The sequence below is a fragment of the Homo sapiens genome, chromosome 2 (genome assembly GCF_000001405.40).
Source record: "Homo sapiens chromosome 2, GRCh38.p14 Primary Assembly".
NCBI lineage: Eukaryota > Metazoa > Chordata > Mammalia > Primates > Hominidae > Homo > Homo sapiens.
In genome coordinates, this window is record NC_000002.12 from 134,395,822 (window position 1) to 134,417,092 (window position 21,271).

Below are 21,271 nucleotides of genomic sequence, written 5' to 3' on the forward strand. Positions count from 1 at the left end.
GTTCTTTCTTCCTGTTCGTTCCCCCAGATAGGCAAATTCTAGAGCCACTCAGTATCATACTTGAGACCCATTGCCCAAGATGAATCCTAATTTATACCAGATGAGCTCAAGCCAAGACTAAATGTGGAGGCCAGTACATGAAAGGAAGCAGACTCCCCTCTTTTTAGGGCCTGTGGGCCAATAGGTGGACCACAGACTGGGCTGGAAACAAGACAGCAAGCTTCCCCTTATTGTGCCACTGCAATCATTGAGCACCATCTTTTTCTCCTAGAGAGGTAAGGGTTTGGGAAGGAAGAGACAGAGGTGAACAGGCTTTGAGATTCTTAGCTTCCAAGGGTTTTTCAGAGCCCCACAAGGTTTGAGTGGGACACAACAAGGACCACCCCATACATATATACCTTGACCTTGGGTGGTTACTTGAGATAAATGAGCCAAAGACTGCAGAGACTTTAAATTGTTCTGAAATGTAAATTTTTTCGGCTACACTGCTGAAATTCACAGAGATTTGCATTTTAGAACTTACCTCCAATCTTGGAATAAAATAATTTTTCATCTTTGTTGAATTTTAGACTTCAGGAGCAAGCAGATGAGGTAGTTTCTTTTTGTCTCTCTCCTCTCTTTTTCTTTTTTGTTTGCCTTGCAGTTCCTAAGTGAATGTGGTACTTAGGAGCAATATAAAAAGGAGGATGAATCAACTATAAAATATACCTTTTAAGTTTTACAACTCTTTTTATTTTGTTTTTGATTAGAATACACACTTAGGTAGTCTTGGACTTTAAGCTCGTTTGCTGGAAGCAGGTGGAAAGTGAAGGAATGTGCCGTGCCCGAGATCCATGTTTCCCACAAGTCCATAAGTCCTTTGTGGTTTGTGTGCCTGCCCTCCTTGTGTTTTTCACTCAGCCAGCTTGTATTTACTGAGCGCTCGCTCGCCCTGTGCCAGGCCTCTGCCAAGCCTACTGGTTCTGCCCTGGAGAAGTTCACAGTTCCAGCCATCTGGGAACATCCAGTGACAGTGCAGCCCAAGCAGGAAGATGGTTAAGGCACAGAGGAGACAGCATTGACCTTCACCTGGGTGGATCCAGGACTGCCTGCTTGTAAAGGAGGAGGAGGCAGGAGTCCATCCAGAAGAAAAGGAGGGAGGAGAGAAGGTTCTTTTGGGCATTAGCAGTGGCAGACCAGGTGTGAGAGAGCAGGAGAGGTTTGGGAATGAGGGATAAGTTAAGTGTAGGCAGAGACCTTAGCAGATGACAGAGGGAATAGTTGGAGTTAAAGCTGGAGAGCTTGCAGAAGCCCAGATTGTGAAGGGCCTTGTGTGCAGTGTTGGGAAGCTCTTTATATAGGGGAACAAAACTTTGAGTTTTGGAACCTAGTGACAATAAGGAGGATGGGTTGAAGGAATGAGAGCCTACAGACAATGTCTTAGCCCACAGCCTCTAGGAAGCAGGGCCTGAGACAAAGACTAAAGTACCAATATTTTGCTGCAGAAGGAGTTGCAAATCCAGGGCAGCAAGGATGAAGGAAAAGGGAAGTGCAGGGTAACAGACGGTGTGTCTGACCATGCTGGCTCCTGCCTCACCAGGGGCCACAGAGACACAGCAGCACATTGGGCTGCCTGGACTCTCCCCAAAGGCCTGCAAGGAGGAGCTCTACCTTGGAATAGTGGAATAGTCTGGAGGAGAGAAAGGAGGTGGGTTTTATTCGCCCTGCTCCTTCCTGTGTCCTGTTTGCCATCAACCTTGGTTCACCTCATAGATTTCTAAGGCCCCTATAATTCTGCGATGCTATTTAGGAAGGAGGACCCCATCACCCCATCCCATGGTAAGCTTATTCCCCATCTGGCAGCAGAGGGCAGCCTGGTTTGTGTGAGCACTGACTGAAAAAGAGAGGAGCAGGGGCAATCTGAAAGGGCTCCTAAGGAGCGTGCCACTGTTGAGACAACGAGCCCAGCCCAGACATTACGATAGCAGTTCATGCAGGAGGGGGCTGGCAGAGCAAATGGAGGCGACCTGTAGTGGAGGGAGGTTTACAAGATCTTCATTCTGTGCAGTTGACAGCCCCAACCCCAACCTTTATAGGAGTTACGTTACAGTAACAGTAAAGTACTCCCATGGCTGGTTCTGGTCAATGCATACTCTGTGGCCTTGTGTTTCTTAAATAAAAAATAGGATTCATTATTGTATGTTTGTAAAACCAGGTAACAGGCCGATTTCCATATTTGTGGGGAAAGAGGAGGAGCTGCCACAGGCTGAGTATCCCTTATCCAAAATTCTTGGGACCAGAAGTGTTTTTGATTTTGGATTTTTTCAGATTTGGAGATATTAGCAAATACTTAACTGGTTGAACATCCATATTCCCGAAAATCTGAAGTTGAAAATTCTCCAGTGCTCAGCATTTTGGATGACGTGAGCTGTGGACCGAGACCCTGCCACTGTCCTGTTAGGCCTTCTCTGTAGGACTTAAATTTTTCTCTGCCCTCCATGGAGTGGGACACACGCTTGCCTCTGCAGCCTGGTTTTGTCACCCTGGAGAGGGATTGACAGCACTTCCCAGGGAGGACTACTGCTGCCTAAGACTCACAGATGTTCACCCTGGAGGAGCCAACTTTGGGCTGAGCTGCAGAATTTTTTAATGACAGGTCATAAGGTGCTGCGTGAATGAGGGGAACTGACGTCCAGGAGAAATATGTGTGTCTGCAGTGGGGAGCAGGGGTGTTACTGGGGAGGATACTGCTATTCACCAAAGAACATTCCTATACCCTAATTCACCAGCTAAAAAGGAAGTTGGAGATCAAAGAGATATCCGCATCCCCATGTTTATTGCAGCACTATTTACAATAGCCAAGATACGGAATTAGCTTGAGTGTCCATCAGCGGATGAATGGATAAAGAAAATATGTACATAATGGAATACGATTCGGCCATTTAAAAAAATGGCAGTCTGTAGTTTGCAGCAATATGGATGGAGCTGGAGATCATTATGTTAAGTGAAATAAGCAAGTCACAGATGTCGAATGTTCTCACTCCTATGTAGGAGCTAAAAAGGTGGCCCTCATGGAGGTAGAAAGTAGAATGACAGATACCAGAGGCTGGGAAAAGGGGTAGGTGGGAATAAAGAGTAGTGAGTTAATGTGCAAACATAAAGGTGGATAGAAGGAATAAGTTCTAGTGTTCAATAGTAGACAAGGGTGACTATAGTTACCAACAGTATATTGTCTATTTCAGATTAGCTAGAAGAAAGGACTTGAAATGTTCCCAAAACAAAGAAATGATAAATGTTTGAGGTGATGGATACCCTAAATACCCTGATTTGATCATCACATGTAGTATCCATGTATTGAAATATCCCATATATCCCATAAACATGTACAATTATTATCAATTTAAAAATGTTGTAAAATAAGTTGGGGAAAGCTTCTGATTCTCTAGTTCTGCATTCTACCACTCCCCCCTGCTGTGGACTTACAGGAGTGTTGCGTAAATTGAATTGTTTTTCTAAAGCTTTCTCTCCAAGCTCTAAATATCTTATGACTGGTTCTGAACATGTACCTGCCTCCAGCTACAACCATAAACAGCTGAAGAGACACTGACAACACTGCTCATTGACTCCAGCATGCGCTCTCCTTCCCTTTGCATCTCCTCCCCTCAAATGAGCTTAGGTGGATTTAAGTTTTAATCAGTTAGATCAGTTGTTCTTAATGAGAATTTAAATTGAACTAGAGAATAAAAGCATTAGGGGGGTTGCTGGTTGCTCAGCTGGAACCTTTGGGCGACAGAGGTGGTTGCATGCTGTGATATGATACTCAGTGCAGGCCCTTTTTGACTGCATCTCCAGAGATCTGTTGGTGATAAAGTTTTTAGAGCAGATAATTTTCTTTGACCTTAGTCTCTTAAGTTGGAGAAGGAAAGCTTTCTAAGAAGTGATCTCGATCCAGTTCTTAGATCAGTGGGACATACAGGTCTATGGTGGTCACCTATGGTCACCTTCACCCTGGGCCTGGATGACCAAAGTAAGGGAAGGGAAGGGGGAGTGTATGCTGGAAAATGTCTCTTACCTCTAACGCCCTCCCCATTTTGAGCCTTCCCATGTGTAGGGGAAAGGCAGACAAAGACACCTTTAATTTTAAAAATCCTGAATATCCTGCATCTTAAACACAAAAGATAAGAGTGTCCATGAAGACAGAAGGGGATCCTTTGAGCCCCTTGATGGCAAGAACTGACCCTTCCATCCTGGAGAAGAGGAGACCAATTTGATATTATGGAGGCAGAATATACAGGACTGTGTGACTAATTCGACATGTGTGTCCATGGAGCTTGAAGGGGACAGAACCACAGGTGCAAAACTGGTGTAGGTACTTGGCTGGGAGTTTGGTATGAGAGGCTTCTGGGGCACCTTTACCTGGAATAGGCAGCGTGGTTCATCTGCACCAGGATTCTACTCAGAACTCTTACAAGTGGTAACAAGAGACCTGAGGTAGAAGTACCTAATTGTTACATCAATGTCAAAGGCTAAAGTTAGGCTTGAAACATTTTTTTTCCTCTAATCAGCTGTTGGGATTTTCACGTTTATGAAATTGGTAAATCCTTTCTGAAGGTAATCTCTAGTTTTGATTTTACCATGCCTAAAAGTTAGTAAGTTCATACACTTTATTAGTCTTTACATATACCTCTTTATATTTGCCTGAACTTGCCCCCTTGTTATACTTCAAGAAACCCCAGCCTTTTCTGGGATTTAATGGTAATACATATGTAATCTAGTACCTTGTTACTTTCCCAGGCATTTAGTCTGGGAACCCTAATCTTGAGTCTGTCTACAGTGGATATTTTTCTCCAGGACAGGAACCAAATGGGCCAGTTACTGGTCTACCCTGTAGCTCACCACAGACATAGCCTAGGGGCCTTTGGCCCATCTTCACTAGTTGGCAACTGGCTTTTTAGGCGAAATGCCTCCTTTTGCATAAAGGAGAGATGCCTGTCCCCACCTGCACCGCCCATCTCCTGCTTTAAGGCCAGCAAGATGTCCCGAGAGGCCTCCTTGTAGATGAGTGAAATCCACACAGGGAAACTCAAGTAAAAATATGGGGTGGGGTCTGGGAAGAGCTGTGTTTATTATAAGGATCCAGAGGGACCTGGGGAATTTAGGATAGGGAACCACTGTGGGTGGGATAAGAACCAGAGTGGCTCCAGGCCCTAGTTTTTTCTCCTCTGTCTCTCTGCTTTCTTTTCCCACTCTCTTCTCTCCCCTTCCTTCTCCTTATTCTTCTTCTACTCCTCTTTTTTTTTCTAGCTCTGTGTCATGCTTGCAGTGGTGATGTTTTGGTTGTAGTCATGCTCTTGGGTCCCTCTTATGACCGACTGTCTGCGTCTTCCCCTCTCCTTTAGCCTTTACTTGGTTCTTTTCCCAACCCACCCGCCAAAACTGGCAACCAGCTTCCTCAGAACTTGTTATCTGGCTCGTAATTGCCCAGACTCCAACGCTCAAATGACCTTTTTGCTCTAAAGCCAGTGGCCATCTGGCAGTAATCTCCCTGTATACAGGATTCTGAGTTCCCAAGAGAGCATCTGGTTGGCTCCCCTTGCCTTCCTGAGTCTGCTACATCATTCCTGGGCTGCTGGCCAGCCTAGGAGTGGGTCCCCTCAGGTCAGACACACCCTGGGCAGGTCAGCAGCCAGCAGTGGGCACAGGGTAACAGAGCCCCCTGCCTACTTAACAGGAGCTGTGGGTGGGGGCAGGAGTTACCAGATACATCTAGCACAAGAACCATATCCTAGAACCCTTCAAACTAACATATGCCAGGTAGGTGTAAGCTTCTGTACTAATTTAAAACTATACATTTCTAAGTTAATGAATTCAGCATCTTGCGGCCATACCAGACATGGCATGGAATTAAACTTTCAGTCCCACTGTTCATTTTATTCATACATTAGGGTGGCAAGGGTGGTCTTGCTCATTGCAAGCAAAGTCATCCTGGTTCATGAAATGAAGAATGTGGACTGTGCAGTTTTCCCAGTCATGAAGACTTTTGATACATCACTTGAAATGTTCCTCCTGAAGTTGAGGGTCCTTTGTAATATCACCAGGGCAGTGAATGGCAGAGACCAGATCATGAATCGCTTCATTTAGAGCCTGCCTCCGGGCTTCCCTGCACTCTGTGGCTGCTAATACCACACCCCTGTGTCCCTTGTGGTCTTAAGTCACAAAACCAGCTATTATTAGATTTGCCTGGAGTGTCTGAAAACAGGCTTAGAATGAGGAAACCTTGTCCCACTTTTATACAACTGGAAAACATTACAGAATTTGACTTTTTGAAAATTTCCCAAAAAAAGGAAAAGAAAAACCCACAAACCCCAGCTTGTACAGTTTAGTCACAGGGAAACACAGAGGTAAAAAAGGTGAACTTGCTTCCACTTCACAGGTGGTTTTGATTTAGAAAACGTGCCTCAAAATTCAGTGCCTACAAATACAAGAAAAGGGGTTTGGTTGTGCTTCTAATAGTATAAGTAAAATTACTCTTGAATGTTTCAGGGCTCATCAAAATTTACATTTATTCTCTTTTTTCTACTTTTATCTACCTGAGTATTCTCATTATCTCTCCAGCTGTGAGAAACTCTCATCTTCCCATGATCCCAAATTAGGTGGGATCCAGTTCTGACAACATGAGTTAATCATCACTAGAAACATTGGCAAGAGCTGGGGAATGTTTGTATTCCTCTGGGACAGCTTAGCATCTCTGGGTAAATGTTGCAGTCCAACTGACTGCCTTCCCCGGGCTGTCCTTCCCCAAACTTCCTCTCCTAGAGGTAGGAAGAGCCAAAATCAACTGTTAGGTCTGTGGTAATTTACAAAGCAAGGATGATATTTCAAAACAGTTGGCTATATAATGTATTTCCTCTTGCAAAATTATACAGTTGGTATTCAGTAATATGTTGCCATATAATGTATTTCTTCTTAAAAAATTATACAATGGCTATATGACTGTTTATGTCCACAAAGTCCAGCCAGATTACTTTTCAAAGAAATTTTAGCAGTTTGATTGCCAAATTCCTGTGATCTCCATATTAAGAACTCTCTGTCTGTGGCCTCTAGTCTTAGAAGTTCTAGTCCATGATACAGGTTGTTATGCAAATGAAAGAAAAAGAGAAATGTCTTGTGCTTGTTTTCTTCTTTAGAATAAGAAGATCTACTTGGACATTATTCACACATACATGGAAGTGCATGCAACTGTTTATGGCTCCAGCACAAAGAATATTCCCAGTTACGTGAAAAACCATGGTATCCTCAGTGGACGGGACCTGCAGTTCCTTCTTCGAGAAACCAAGGTAAAAATTCACCACGGATGTGGTGTTCAGGTTATTGCCATTGGCTGTGAAAATGGGATCAGAATATTTCATGCTTGTTTTTCAATGCTGCAATAAACTCTTGTGGCTATTTTGGGGCAGCAGTTTGCTAGACCAATGGCAGCTGAAAAGTAAGTGAATTGTGGAATGAGATTGCTACAGTTTTTTTCATTGATTTATTCAAAAATCGTATTTACTAAGGACCTACTCAGTGTTAGGTGTCAAGCAAGGGGCTAAGGATAAGGCTGCAAATGGAAAAGGTAAAGCCCTGCCTGGAAGGACAGACTTTCTAATAGAGCAGCAGCTTTCATAGTAAGCCAGGGGTGCTGAACTCTTCCCCCAACCCAATCATCACTGTTCAAGGAGTGGGTTTCCCAACCAGCTTTTCCTCATACCTCCTTGTTCACCAAGTACGCATTGGACAGTGAAGAAGTTCAGATGAGGGCAAAGTCCCTGTGGGCTCAGGAAGCAGAGCAAGCATCAGGAGAGATGCAAGAGATGAAAGATGGATGGAGTGTAGACACACCTGGCATGTGGGCCAGACAGGAGTTAGAGTCAGGTGGTGGAGGTGGAGGTGGCATATTCAGGAAAGAGCTAGAAGCCAACCCAGCTAGTCTAAGTGTTGAAAAATAGTGGAGGTAAAATTGGATGAGGGAATGTGAGGGTCTGATTGGCACAGATGGAGGCAGAGTTCACACCATGTGGTGGAGGTAGCCGGGCAAGCCCTTGAGGATCATTTTGCTCAGCAGTAGCATGATGACGTGTTGCTTTGACACTGTAGGGAAGTCCACCCAGTGGTCTGTGTTTTTTCTGTAATGGTGCCATGGAAGTACCAAATGAAGTTCGGGAACTTGTGAAGAAACCAGAGTTTGGCCTTGAAGGGTTGGCTGGCATTTCAGTGTATTAGATAAACTCCCTCAGGTTTATTAATAAGTTTTTATGAATTTCACAAATATTTATTGAGTAGCTGCAATGTGCTAGGCGTTGTACAAGGGATGCAAGTGTGAAGAAGGCACATGGATCTCTCTTGTGGTATGTCCTAAGCACAAGGAAGCTTATTTTCAGTAGTGGATTTCTCAGCTCTCATCTCTGGCTCGCTTTGTTTTCATGTTCAAGGTAGGGGAGAGAGGTTGAGCAGGTGGACTTCTAGGGCATAATCTCAGTTGTCCAATCATTATGTGATACTTCATTTATAAAAAGTGTATTCACATATGCTATCCTCTTTGATTCTCACAACAGCATTAAGAGGTAGATAGAGCAGGTATTATTGTTAACTTTATTTTGAACATGAGGAAATAGGCTACAGAGTTTGGCTTGCCCACAGTAAACTGGGGTCAAGTCCTGGAGGTGGCCCTAACTCATGATTTTTTTAATTGCACATTAAAGCTCTGCTAGCCCCTTGATGTACTATCGTCATAAACACTCAAACTTAAGAACTCTTAGTGGACACCCACTAGCCAAAAGAATGTATATCTCCTCTTTGCCTCAGTTTCTCCATCTGTAAATGCATTTGATCCTATCTACGTCCAAGGCATTTGTATGATGCCACAAATAAAATGATTTGACAATTTCTTTAGCTTATTGGCCAAAGACCTGGTTTGTTTTAAGATTTTATTTCCTTCCAAGGTCATCTGTAGTCTGATGACTGTTTTTTGTTATCCAGGAGTGAAGTGTGTTCTCTAGTTTTCACTATTTGCTTTCTATCACCTTCTGTCTTAGGCTGACATTTCAGAATCATCAGAATGTCTGGGCCCTTTAATGGCAGTGCTGTTTTTGCCATTTGCCTCATTTTACTTTTCTCCACATCAGATTGTGGAAAGAGCTCAAGCTCCTTTAAAAAACACTTGGCAGAGCTGGTTTTCAGCAGTGTGTCATTACTGTCTCACACACTTTTATTAACCCAACCTCATGAATGTCTCTCTCAGCTTCGCAAATTTTGAAAGAACCCTTACTTACCTACCATCCATTACCCTGTCAGAGATTAGGAAATAGGCCAAAACGGAGATCGCTGATGTCCAGGGGAGGACAGGAAAAGAGGCAGGGAAGGCCCAGGCCAAGATGTCCAAGTTTGTCTAATGAGCAAGGATTGCAGCCTGAGTTAAAGAGCACGAGGGGTGTATGTTCATCCTTGAAAAACTGGGACCCGTGTAGAGGATGTCACTGATCCCATTACCTATTGCCTGCTCCTTGAGTAGAGTATATTAAAATACTCTGAGTGGAATCATGGCTCAGACATTTGGCAAATGTGACAAGGATGGGGCAGCGTATTGCTGAGACTCCCCTCACACCTGGCACACAGCTACAGGCTCCAAAATGAATGAACCTTTGGCTTTGAAATAATGACATGAAAGACCAGTCAGGCTTCGCATCTATAACCCTTTCTGTCTCTGACTCCTTTCTCTCTGTCTATGAGCAATTTAAAAGCGATTTATTCTAATCCACATTGGAAATGGGGAACTGGAGCAGCCGAGAAGCAGATGTCTGCAGCATGAATGGGATTCACACACTTCTTGGACTCCTTACTGGCAAGAGAAGCAGGGCTGACCTCCTCAAGAGAGTTAGAGACATAGAGAGATGATTGATGCTTGATCAGCTTCTGACTCATTATTTTTCTTTACAAGCCATCTTTGAATCTCTGCACCAATCTTAGGAAACCCTCTGCTCAGCAGAATTTTGTCCAGGCATGCCATTAGGGGTGCAGGCGTCATTAGTAGCCTCTTGCTTCAGGGAACCTGTGAAGATGGAAGGAATTCAATGTAACACTAATACTGGGGCTAAAAGAGCCAGGAAGTTGTTGGAATCTAGCAGATCCTTCTAATTGGGGTATAAACTTGGATGAATGAATTATTTATCACAGGACCACAGCCGAGTCATTCAGTCCAGCAAACCCCAGGAGTGCAGTTTAAGCCAGCAAATCAGGACTCACTAGGGTGGCATGTTTTTATTTTTGGTTTAAATCTCCATCTCTTTTAAAGTGGCTTCTTTCTTCATCTTCCTGGATTTAACCTCTTCATGTCCACCTCCCTCAGTCTTCCCTGTTTCATATATGATACTGAATAGTGCATTTGCATCTGCAACTCACTGAGTGCTTTGTGAGCTGGACCAGTACCGTCCTTTCTACAGTTGAAAACAAATTCTGGTTGTGGGGAAGAAAACAGGCAAAGCTGTGGCTTCTGCACATACTGTCGCTGTACCCCTTCTGTACCCAGACCTCCATTCATTCACCTCTCCAAGACTTGGCTGGGTCATGACGGCACTGTTTCCCCATCATGTCAGCTTATCAGCTTACCTGTGGGACTCACCTAGGAACATGGGCAGGCCTGGCAAATATGCAGTGCTCCCTCTGACTCATCTTATCCTCATGACTGACTGTGCCACCCTGCCCCCCACCAACTATGTCTCTTCTTACTGAGCTTGGATGTGCTCACAAAACCTGTCTAAGGCAGGTGCGGTGCAGTAGCTCACATCTGTAATCTTAGCACTTTGGGAGAGGCTGAGTCGGGCAAATTGCTTGAGCCGAGGAGTTCAAGACCAGCCTGGGCAACATGGCAAAACCCCATTTCTACAAAAAATACCAAAAAAAAAAAAAAATAGCTGTGCGTGGTGGCATTTACCTGCAGTTCTAGATTTTCAGGAAGCTGAAATGGGAGGGTCACTTGAGTCCAGAAGGCTGAGGTTGTGGTGAGCTGAGGACACCTGCACTCCAGCCTGAGTGACAGAGGGAGACCCTGTCTTTAAAAAAGGCTGTCTGAAATACCCAGGGCTTGAGGCAGCAGACTCTCCTGCAGCTGCATGAGGGCAGAGGGCCTTTGCTTGTTCTATCCACAGGTGCATCCACAGTGCCTGGCTTCTAAAAGGCATTTAGATGATTGTATAAAGAATGAAAGAAGGAGTCAAAATGAAACACATTGACCATCTGGGATCTCTGAGATTTCTTCCTGTTCTCGTATACCCTGCGCCTAGATCTCTTAGATCTCACCAGCTAGGGACACTACCCTTCTGATACCCCGTTCCTGCCTGTCTGTAATGTTGCCTACATCTCCAGGCCCTGTGAGTGATAGCCCAAGAGCTTGCTTCCTTAGGAGGAGCAGTCCTTCTTCTGTTTCTATTACAGATACTGGTTCCCATTTGCCCTCAGGCAGCCAATTGAAGCAGGTTTCATCCTAGTGAGCATACTTCAAGTCATTCCCATGCCATCTAGATGGGGAAAAAATTGTACGAACACATCCATGCCTCCTTCCCTCCCCCTTATCTACACATGTATATAGACTGAAGAGTGTACAGAGGTATGAGTCAGTAACCTGTCTGACTTTCAGAGCAAAAGTGCATCCCTACACTCAAATAAATACAACACGTTCAACTTCTGTGCACAGAGACACTTGATTGCTGGAAAGATCCAGTCTCATAGTATTTATTCTTTTACTGTTTCATCCAGCAAGTAAGTATAATATTAAGTACTAGATATATTCTAGGCCTTAGTCTAGCCATTCTAGAGACAGTGATGACTCAAGCAGTTTTGCCCACAAGGAGCATACAGGTATGCTGGAGGAGGAAAGCAGGTAACTGTAACAATGTGGAAAGTACACAGGTAGAACTAGTCATAATATGAAATAATGATACAAGCATAAAACTTCACTGTCACGCTGAGTGGGGCCAACAGTTCAGTTGTGTAAAATGTGGTTCTGTGACTTGTGAAATCAATGTAGTGAATTGGGCAGTCCCATTCAGAGGACAGGAGCCACTGTCAGTCACAGTTTAACACCTCCATGCTATTGCGATGCACCTGTCTATGGGATTTACCATAACAGTAACAGCCATTATCTCTCCCCTCTACCATGTACTAGGCCCTATGCTAAGCCCTTTCTGTGTATTCTCTCTTTGCATCACAAAAATCCAATGATCTTGGTACTGTTATAAACGGTACCATTTTAATGAAGCAGCCACTGAGGCTCCAGTCGTAAATAAGCCTGTTTTGCTGCCTCCGTGTTGGCGGCTGAGGGGTTGTCCTGGTGTGGAATTTGGGGGAGAGAGGCGTGGTCAGAAAAGGGTCCTCCCAGGAGATGATGCCTGAGTGGACTTTTAATGGTGAGCACTTGAGGCTGGCCCAACTGAACATGTTCAGCATCTACAGGTTTAAATTTATGCAAATATTCTTTTACTCCCCTATCTCCAAGTTAATAAATTTACAATGTGAATTGTAATGCATTTGATTTTATATTGGGGCTTTCAAATGACCGAAACTCAGGAACTTTTTATCCTGATGCTGTTGTTTGTGGTTTGGGTTTTTGTTTCTGAAACGGTAGTTAGGTAGCTTGGCATAATCAGCCAGCTGGTCTTCAGGAAATAGTCTTTGGTTTAGCAGCAGACTCTGACAAAAGTCTGCTTTGGGCATGTAAACATGCTTGGTGAGTCTTCTTTTCTTGGCCTCCGTGGACCTTCCAGCTCTTCCCTAGAGAGTCTTCAGGTCACATGAGTCAGGGGCTTGTGGAGCCCTTGGGAGGATAGAGCCAGCCTGGATGGAAGAGAGTCTGGCCACTGTTTATCCCTTCCTTAAGCATCAGGTACCTGAAAGAAGGCAGATGGCCAGGGAGGGACCCTTTGGGCTACATGAAAGCATCACATTTTGGAAAAATTGTTTTCTTCATACCCAGCCCCTTGTCTGGGTTATTTTTAAGATATAAAAGGGATGCCTATTACCAGAAACATTAATATAATGATTCCCAGTCATTGTATAAAAATAAACAAGCAAAGCTTAGCAATAGCATGTGACTCATGGGACTGGCTTATGTGGCAGTCACTGTAAACCATATCATCTCTTATCTCTCTCTTCTGATGAATATCCCTCCCCGTTTTTTAGTGCAGATACTTTATGAAACAATGAGAACTCATAAATATACATGCAGGTGCTGAACATCTTGTAAAAACCCACAAACATAACTCCTGCACACGTAAACTCCGTCTAAATGATATAAGGCCATGATATGCAGCTGTGTGAAGTTGCATATGGATTTGAACTTGAGTGACTGATTATCCAGCACTTACTAAGTGCCAAGACTTGGAATGAATCCTTTCCATGTACTATCTCATGTAATCCTCACAGCAACCCCATGAAATAAAGCACTATTGTTTTACCCATTTTACACATGAAAACTCTGAGGTTTAGCAAGCTTGTTACCCGGACTAAGGTCCTATAAATAGAATAGATTATAAATGGGCCTTAACTAATCCATAGACAGAAGCACCTAGCAGTGTGTCACAGTGACTGACCTGGGAAATGATGGAGCTAGACCTTGAAGCCTAATCTGTCTCCAGAACCTGCGCTGTTAATTACCACATTGTTCTGGGCACTTTGTGCCAATAATGGATTCATCAATTCATTTGATGAACCGGGGGTGATTCATTGCTCAGTTTCCCTCTAGAGTCACCATGCCAACTTCGCTAATTAAAACTGGCCAGAAAAGTATGTGTTGTGTGTGTGTTTCCTATTTATGATTATCCTCAATGTTCCCCATCAAGAGTGAAACTGACCAAGCCCATGGATAAGAACCCCCTTTATCCATGTTTAAAGATTCTTTAAGTACTCCACTTAGCAGTTTAAAACAATTGTTTCTTCTTTCACAGAGTGGGAAAAATCTGGGTGGTTTTACTGGACCCTTTGTGAATGTGTAGGAACGTCCCAATCCTATACTGTGAAGAAAACGTATGGTGCCTCATCTGTTCTCTCTGCTTAGCATTAGTTCAGAAATTTAATCCTAGATCCCACAATCCCTCTGTGTAGAAATACTCATTGATGGAGCTGGAGTTGCAGCCATGGAGATATTTTGTCATCTGGAATATCCTCATTAGATTCTGGGCTTCTGAAGGCAAGGTGAAGTATAAGTAAAATATGGCCAGTTTTCTCCAGCAGAGTTAAGCCTTGGCACTTATGTACATTCTTGCAGTGTCTCTTGCCTCCTTGCTAAGGAAATCGGTTAAGTAGGCAGAATAGCAGGAGATTAGGGGAAAAGCAATTCAGTGTGGTTAAGGTGCCAATGTGTGGCAAGACCATAAGTGCAAGGAAGTTTACAGAGTGCTGTTTGGTGGTGATGAACTCTCTCCGCCTGTTGTGTTTTCATTCAAACCTCAGATGTGCTATTTGACCTTAATACATCTGCTCCATTGTAATATCACAGGTAATAAGCACACAGGAAGCAAGAAAAAAATTGCTTATTGACTGAAGTGACAAAAAACTGTTATTTTGGTGTTTCCAAGTAATGTATTTCCTACAATCCTAATTGTGTGACAGAAAAACTCATTGCCAGGAAATTATGTTGTATTTGCTTAGGCTTCATTCTAAACATATGAGGCTTTGGGAGAGTTAATAAAGTTTTTATTTTATGTGTACTGAGATATTCTGGTGCCCACAGGGCAGAAGAGATGGTTCATATTGTTGTTCAGATATAATTAAACCTAGGTCACATTCAAGTCCATTAAGCAACAGCCTCAAATCCTTTTAATTAATGGATTCAGATTGATCTAAAGAAGCTAATTAAATTTTTCCCAAGATTTTCTATTTAAATAGACAAACATTGTGCTGCTTGCATTTCCTCCAAAGCTGTTCTTTGAAATTTAGAGTTGATGAAGGTATCCACACTTCATGGCAGGCCCTGATTTTCAGAGGTCAGGAGGCACTGTGGGTTCTCTGACTAAACCTGCAGAAATCCTGATCTGCGTCTTCTGGCACTTTTCTCCTCAGTCAGAAAGATCTGGACTCCCTGTGCTATCTTATGCCCAACCACGGCCTGACAGAGGTCATTTGTTTTCCACTGGAGAGCCGGCACATCCTCTCCAAAGTCTGATAGGAGAGGGCAAATCAGAGATCACAAGTCTGGTAGATAACAACCCTGGATTCTTCATATTCCATAAAGCTGGGATGTCGTGGGACTAGTACATTCCCACTGTTTCCTTCCATTTCATCTGCAGCAGTCAGATCTCCCCCACCCCTGAGCCACATGTCCAGGCCACACCCTATAGTTAGAAGTTCTCTCTGACAATCTCGTTTCTGTTAGCTGTATAATAAGAGTAAGATGCAGAGCAGGAGCTTCCTAATGGTAGTAGAGCTTTCCCTTTATCCTACAGCTTCCAGGCTCCTGGCTACCATGTTTTCCTCACCACCATCACCCCCACCCGTGATCTCTGGTGGTTCTGCTGCCCAAGGGGGAAATGACCCAGCCAGCATTAGGGGCTCTGCTGGCCTCTAAAGCTTCTTTTCTTCCCAGCTCCCTGCCCTGTGGACATCTCTGGCATTGTGATCACGCAGTTTTCAGGAAACGAAAATTTATTCTTTCAAAAAACCAAAAAGATTGAGTACCCTATTCTGTTCAAAACAAAAGTAAATAGGTCCAGAAAACCTGAGATGTTAGTGCTGTGCCCCAGAATTCCTTCAGGAGCTACCTGGTTCTCCAGTATGTCACCCATGGGCTGTGCTCAGGGTTGGCCTGACACATGCAGCCCGGCAGCTTGGGCCTGGCACCCTCCAGCTGAACCTTTCTAAACGATCATTCAATTAGAGCAGCTGCTAAGAGAGGAAAGCTGGTGAGAAGGAGGGGATTGCTGTGAAAAGACCGAGGGAAAAACAGAACCAAGCTTGCAGCTAAATCTAGTTGAGCCATCTCCTTCATTCTCAACACCTGGCCTTGTGGTTGGGTGATGCTCTGTGATGGCAGAAGGTAAGGACGCCCTGGGGCCCAGTTATCTTTTCTCACTTAATGTGCCCCTGGGGGCTGAAACAGAACAGGCTTTTATGTGGGTAGAGAGGACACAGCTTCGTCAAGCCCAGACCTGGACCCTGCCCATCAACAACCTGCAGTGCTCCAGCAGTGTGAAGTACACCCACTGTGATGGTACGTGCCGAGGCATTTCTGTGAGCAGTTATTTCATTTTTGGACCCAGGAAATCAGCACCACTGAACTGCAGCTTGTCCCCTTTGTCATCGTGGCTTCCAGCTGCTGTGGTTGCTCTGAGGACTGAGAGCAAGTTGTTGCTGCCATCTATGGTCTGTCTTGGGGGAAGCACATGGTTTGCCTGCTGGAGAGGGAAGCAGCTGCCTTGCAGATTCAGCAACACAGCACCCTCTCTCCCCTCTGAGGGGAAAATCAACACCAAGATGTTGGTGTCCCCAGTGTAAACCCCATTATGAAAACCTGTGTTTACTGACCTACCATCATTTTAAAGCAGTTCCGTTTGAACTGCAATCAAACCTCCAAGTGACCTTTCTGTCCCTCCGCCCAGCATTCCTGAAAGGGCCTGTTGTTTCTTTGGTTCAATGAAGAAACCTTCTGTGTAGTTAAGCAAGTGTTTTTCCAGTCATGTCTCCTGGTGAGTTACAGAAGGATTATTGTTGGGTCTTGGTGGTGGTGGTGGTTGTTTTTCTTTTAATACTCCATCCTCCCTACCCCGTGGATACCCCTAGACACTTAATTTTTTAGTTCCTTGGTGGAGGAGAGCATAGTGAGTTGAGCAGCTTTGTGGGGACTTTAAAAGTTCGTAGTTTTTCAGATCCTGGTGTAAGCTGAATTCTCTCTGCCCCACCCCCCAGGGCCTGGGAGCCTTCCAAAGTGAGGTGTCCACACGGGAATGGGCCACAGAATCGCCGCCTGCAAGCTAGGAATGCCCGTCCTGCCTGATGGTCCTGCCTGATGTGTTCATACGCTGTGTGGTTTTCTGTCTTACAGTTGTTTGTTGGACTTGGGTTCCCTTACGAGGGCCCAGCTCCCCTGGAAGCTATCGCAAATGGATGTGCTTTTCTGAATCCCAAGTTCAACCCACCCAAAAGCAGCAAAAACACAGACTTTTTCATTGGCAAGCCAACTCTGAGAGAGGTAAGCATCTATCAAAATTATTCCATTTTGAATAATATGAATAATAGCTATTTATTGAGTGCTCATGTAGGTATTAACTTCATCTAACATGATTGGGTGGGAGGGTGAGGGTATAGAGGCTCAGAGAGGCAAATGACCTGATCACATCACCTTGCAAGTTAGGGGCAGGATTTGAATCTACTTCTGCCTTCACCAAGTAAGGGATCTTGACACTCTACCCCCACTCTAGCTTACTGTAAACTCAGACAATCTAGCCTCTGATTATAGCTGAACTCTGGTTTCCTGAATGTTTGAAGTTTAGGGAGTGAGATCAACTGGTTAGCAGATACTTGTGAAGAATCTGCTCCCCATGATGGGCTTTGGAGAATAAAAAGTGGGCTGTGGGAGTTTTCAAAGAGCCATCAGCCTCAGGATACCATATGTATCATGGATAACTGAAGTAATGTGACTGATTTTTTTCACCCACCATCCCAAGAAGTAATCCTACCATTGCTAGAACCATTTGCAGAAGCCTCATTTGAATTGCCTTCAGAGATCCTGTTGAAAATCTGCAGTGTGTGATGAATCACCATTGAGGGTAGTTGGATTTGATTTAGGGCAATAAACAAAAGTCTTTTACAGCTACGTGTGAGTGATCAAGCTGGGTGTTTCTTCATCTGGTCAGAAATAGGTGTGTGCAAGAAACCATAAGATTGATTTTCTGATTATTTCTATGTAGTTAGTAGTAAGTGACTCTGCAGGCAGCTTATGAAGGGAAGTCATAGCAGCATCCTTGTCATTCAGGGCCTTTGGCTGGGGGATTACATTGATTAGCATCCGTCCCATGGCATATCAATGTAGAAGGACAGTTTATAAAACATATATTTTTCAGTTCTACTTTTAAACCCCTTCTGAGTCATTTTCTCTCCCAAATAGTATATAAGATGCATTTTCAATGGTTATTTTTTATTGATCAGTCAGAAACCTTGACAATTTATAGAACTGATTACTTTGAGAGTTATTTTTCTCTGACCCTTCCTGTCATTGGTGAAATAGCCAAAGGAGATAGAAGTTCAATAAGATCTATGTTTATCTATAAAAGGTTAATCCGTGGCCCAGATAACCTTTGACAAGGGTTGTGCACACACTTGTGTGTGTGTGTGTGGTTTTTTTTTTTTTTCCTTCTGCTAGAATAATAAATTTGAATTCTTCATTTGGGGAGTGGTTTTGTATTAAGAGGTCAGTTTGTTCATTTATAAGTCGGCAATACTTAATGTACATCTGTGTGCTAGGTGCTGTAGGAAGTGCTAGGACACAGAGACTGGGGACATTCAGTCTGCCGTGAACCTATTCTTTTGAAAAGTTTAAAAAGATGCTGCCCAGCAGTGAAAATATCTCAGTTTAGGAATCTCTGCTTTAGCATGTGACTGACTTCTTTGAAACTTTGGAGTTTGGCGGGGGGAAAGAAACTAGTAAATCATCCCTCGGGTTTTTTGTTTATTTTTGACAAAAAATATGCTTAAGGTGTACACCTTGATGTTTTGATAAATATACACATTGTGAGATAGTCATTACAATCAAGCTAATCCATCACCTTACATATTAAATAGATATTTTTTTCATGGTAAAAACACTTAAGATCTCCTTTTTTGGCAAATTTCAAGTATGCAATACAGTATTGTTAACTATGGTCATAATGCTGCACACTAGTTCTCCAGAACTTAATCAACTTGTATAACTGAGACTTTGACCAACATCTCCCCATATCCCCACGCACCAGTCTCTGGGAATCACGAATGTATTCTCTGCTCTGCGAGTTCAACCATTTTACTGTGAGTTGAACTGTGAGTTCAGCTAGGCTGGTCTGCATGTGGGATCATGCAGAATTTTCCTTCTGTGCCTGGCTTATTTTACTTAGCATAATATTTTCCACATTCATCCATGTTGCCGCCAGTGATGGGATTTCCTTCTTTTGCAGGCTAAATATTTCATATACACATAATTTGTTTATCTATTCATCCACTGAAGGCCACTTAGTTTGTTTCCATATCTTGGCTATTATGAATAATGCTGCAGTGTACATGCGAGTGCAGATACTGCTTTAACATACTGATTTTAACTGCTTTGGATATATACCCAGCAGTGGGATTGCTGGATTATGTGGAGTTCTATTTCTTATTTTTTGAGAAACCTCCATTTTCTTTTTCATTTATGGCTGTAACACATTACATTTTCACCAGCAGGGTACCAAGCTTCCCTTTTTACCACATTCTTGCCAGACACTTGTTATCTTTTGTCTTTTTGATAAAAGCCATTTTAACAAGCATGAGGTGATATCTCCTTGTGGTTTCAATGTGCATCTCCCTGATGATGAAAGATGTTGAGCACCTTTTCATATGTTTGTTTGCCTTGTGTATGTCTTCTTTCGAGAAATGTCTTCAGGTTATTTGCGTATATTTTAATTTGATTGGTTGGGTTTTTTCCGCAGTTGAGTTGTAGGAGTTCCTTATATACTTTGGGAATTAACCGCTTATTAAATATGTGGTTTGCAAATATTTTCTCCCATTCCATAGGTTGCCTTTTCACTCTATTGATTGTTTCCTTTGCTGTGCAGAAGCTCTTTAGTTTGATGCAATCTCAGTTGCCTGTTTTTGCTTTTGTTGCCTGTGCTTTTAGTATCATACCCAAACATCATTGCCCAGACTAGTGTCAAGAAGCTTTTGCACTTTTTTTTTCCTCGTAGTTGTGCTGTTTCAGGTCTTATATTGAAGTCTAATCAATTTTGAATTCATTTTTATAGATAGTGTGAGATAAAGATTTGATTTCATTCTTATGCTTGTGGAAATCAAGTTTTCCAAATATTATTTATTGATGACACTGTGCTTCTCCATTGTGTATTCTTGTCAGCGTCGTTGGGAATCAGTTCTTTTCTGGTTTCTCTGTTCTGTTCCATTGGTCTGTATGTCTGTTTTTATGCCAAAATCACCTGTACATTTGAAATTAGCTCTAGGAAATCTCTAAAGTTCTACTTCTGCCCAAATTGTAGATATTATTTTTCCATGTTTTATGCCCAAATTGTAGATATTAATTTTCCATGTTTGTTTAACATTTGAGATAAAGTATATACAACATAAAACTTACCATTTATCGTTAAAGTTTTTAACCATTTTTAAGTGTACAATTCACTGGCATTAAGTATATTTGCAATATTGTGCAACCATCACTGCTATCCATTTCCAGAACTTGTTCATCATTCTAAACAGAAATTCTGCACACGTTAAACACTAACTCCCCATTCTCCCCACTTCTCAACCCCTGGTAAACCTCTCTTCTACTTTGTGTCTCTGTGAATTTGCCTATTCTAGGTACCTCATATAAGTGGAACCATATAATGTCTGTCCTTTTGTGTCTGGCTCACCAACTTAGCATGTTTTCAAGGTTTGTTCATGTTGTAGCCTGTTTCAGAATCTCATTCCTTACTTTTTTTTTTTGGAGACCGGGTCTTGCTCTGCCACCCAGGCTGGAGGAGTGCAATGGTGTGATCATGGCTCACTGCAGTCTCAAACTCCTGGGCTCTAGTGATATTTCTTCCTCAGCCTCCTGAGTAGCTGGGACTACAGTTGTGTGCCACGACACCTCGCTACTCTTTTTATATTTGGTAGAGATGGGATCTCACTGTATTAACTAGGCTGATCTTGAACTCCTGGACTAAAGCGACCCTTCCAAGTAGCTTAGGATTACAGACACACCCCACCACACCCAGCTAATTAATTTTTTTTTTTTTTTTTTTGCAGAAACAAAGGTCTTACTATGTTGCTTAGGCTGGTCTCCAACTCCTGGGATCAAGTGATCCCCCCCACCTCAGCCTCCCAAAGTGCTGGGATTACAGCATGAGTCACCATGCCTGGCCTATGTCACTCCTTTTTATGAAAAAAATATATATATTTCACTCCTTTTTATGAATATCTACACACTACTTTCTTAAGGCTGAATATTCCATTGAATATATATATAAATCATTTTGTTTATTCAGTTATTGATGGATAAATGGGCAAAAGGTTGTAGTCACCTTTTGCCCATTGTAATGCTACTATGAAC

The 21,271-nt window shown here is 43.1% G+C and overlaps 1 protein-coding gene across 21 annotated transcripts in view; it reads left to right on the forward strand.

Moving 5' to 3' along the window:
* Positions 1-21,271, forward strand: part of MGAT5 (alpha-1,6-mannosylglycoprotein 6-beta-N-acetylglucosaminyltransferase) — a 334,687-nt gene that overhangs the window by 275,887 nt on the left and 37,529 nt on the right. For all 21 annotated transcript variants that reach the window (XM_006712534.4, XM_047444397.1, XM_047444400.1 and 18 more), the window contains 2 exons: positions 7,167-7,316; positions 17,048-17,194. In XM_006712534.4, coding sequence (XP_006712597.1) covers positions 7,167-7,316; positions 17,048-17,194 — 297 coding nt within the window. The remainder of the gene's footprint in view (positions 1-7,166; positions 7,317-17,047; positions 17,195-21,271) is intronic.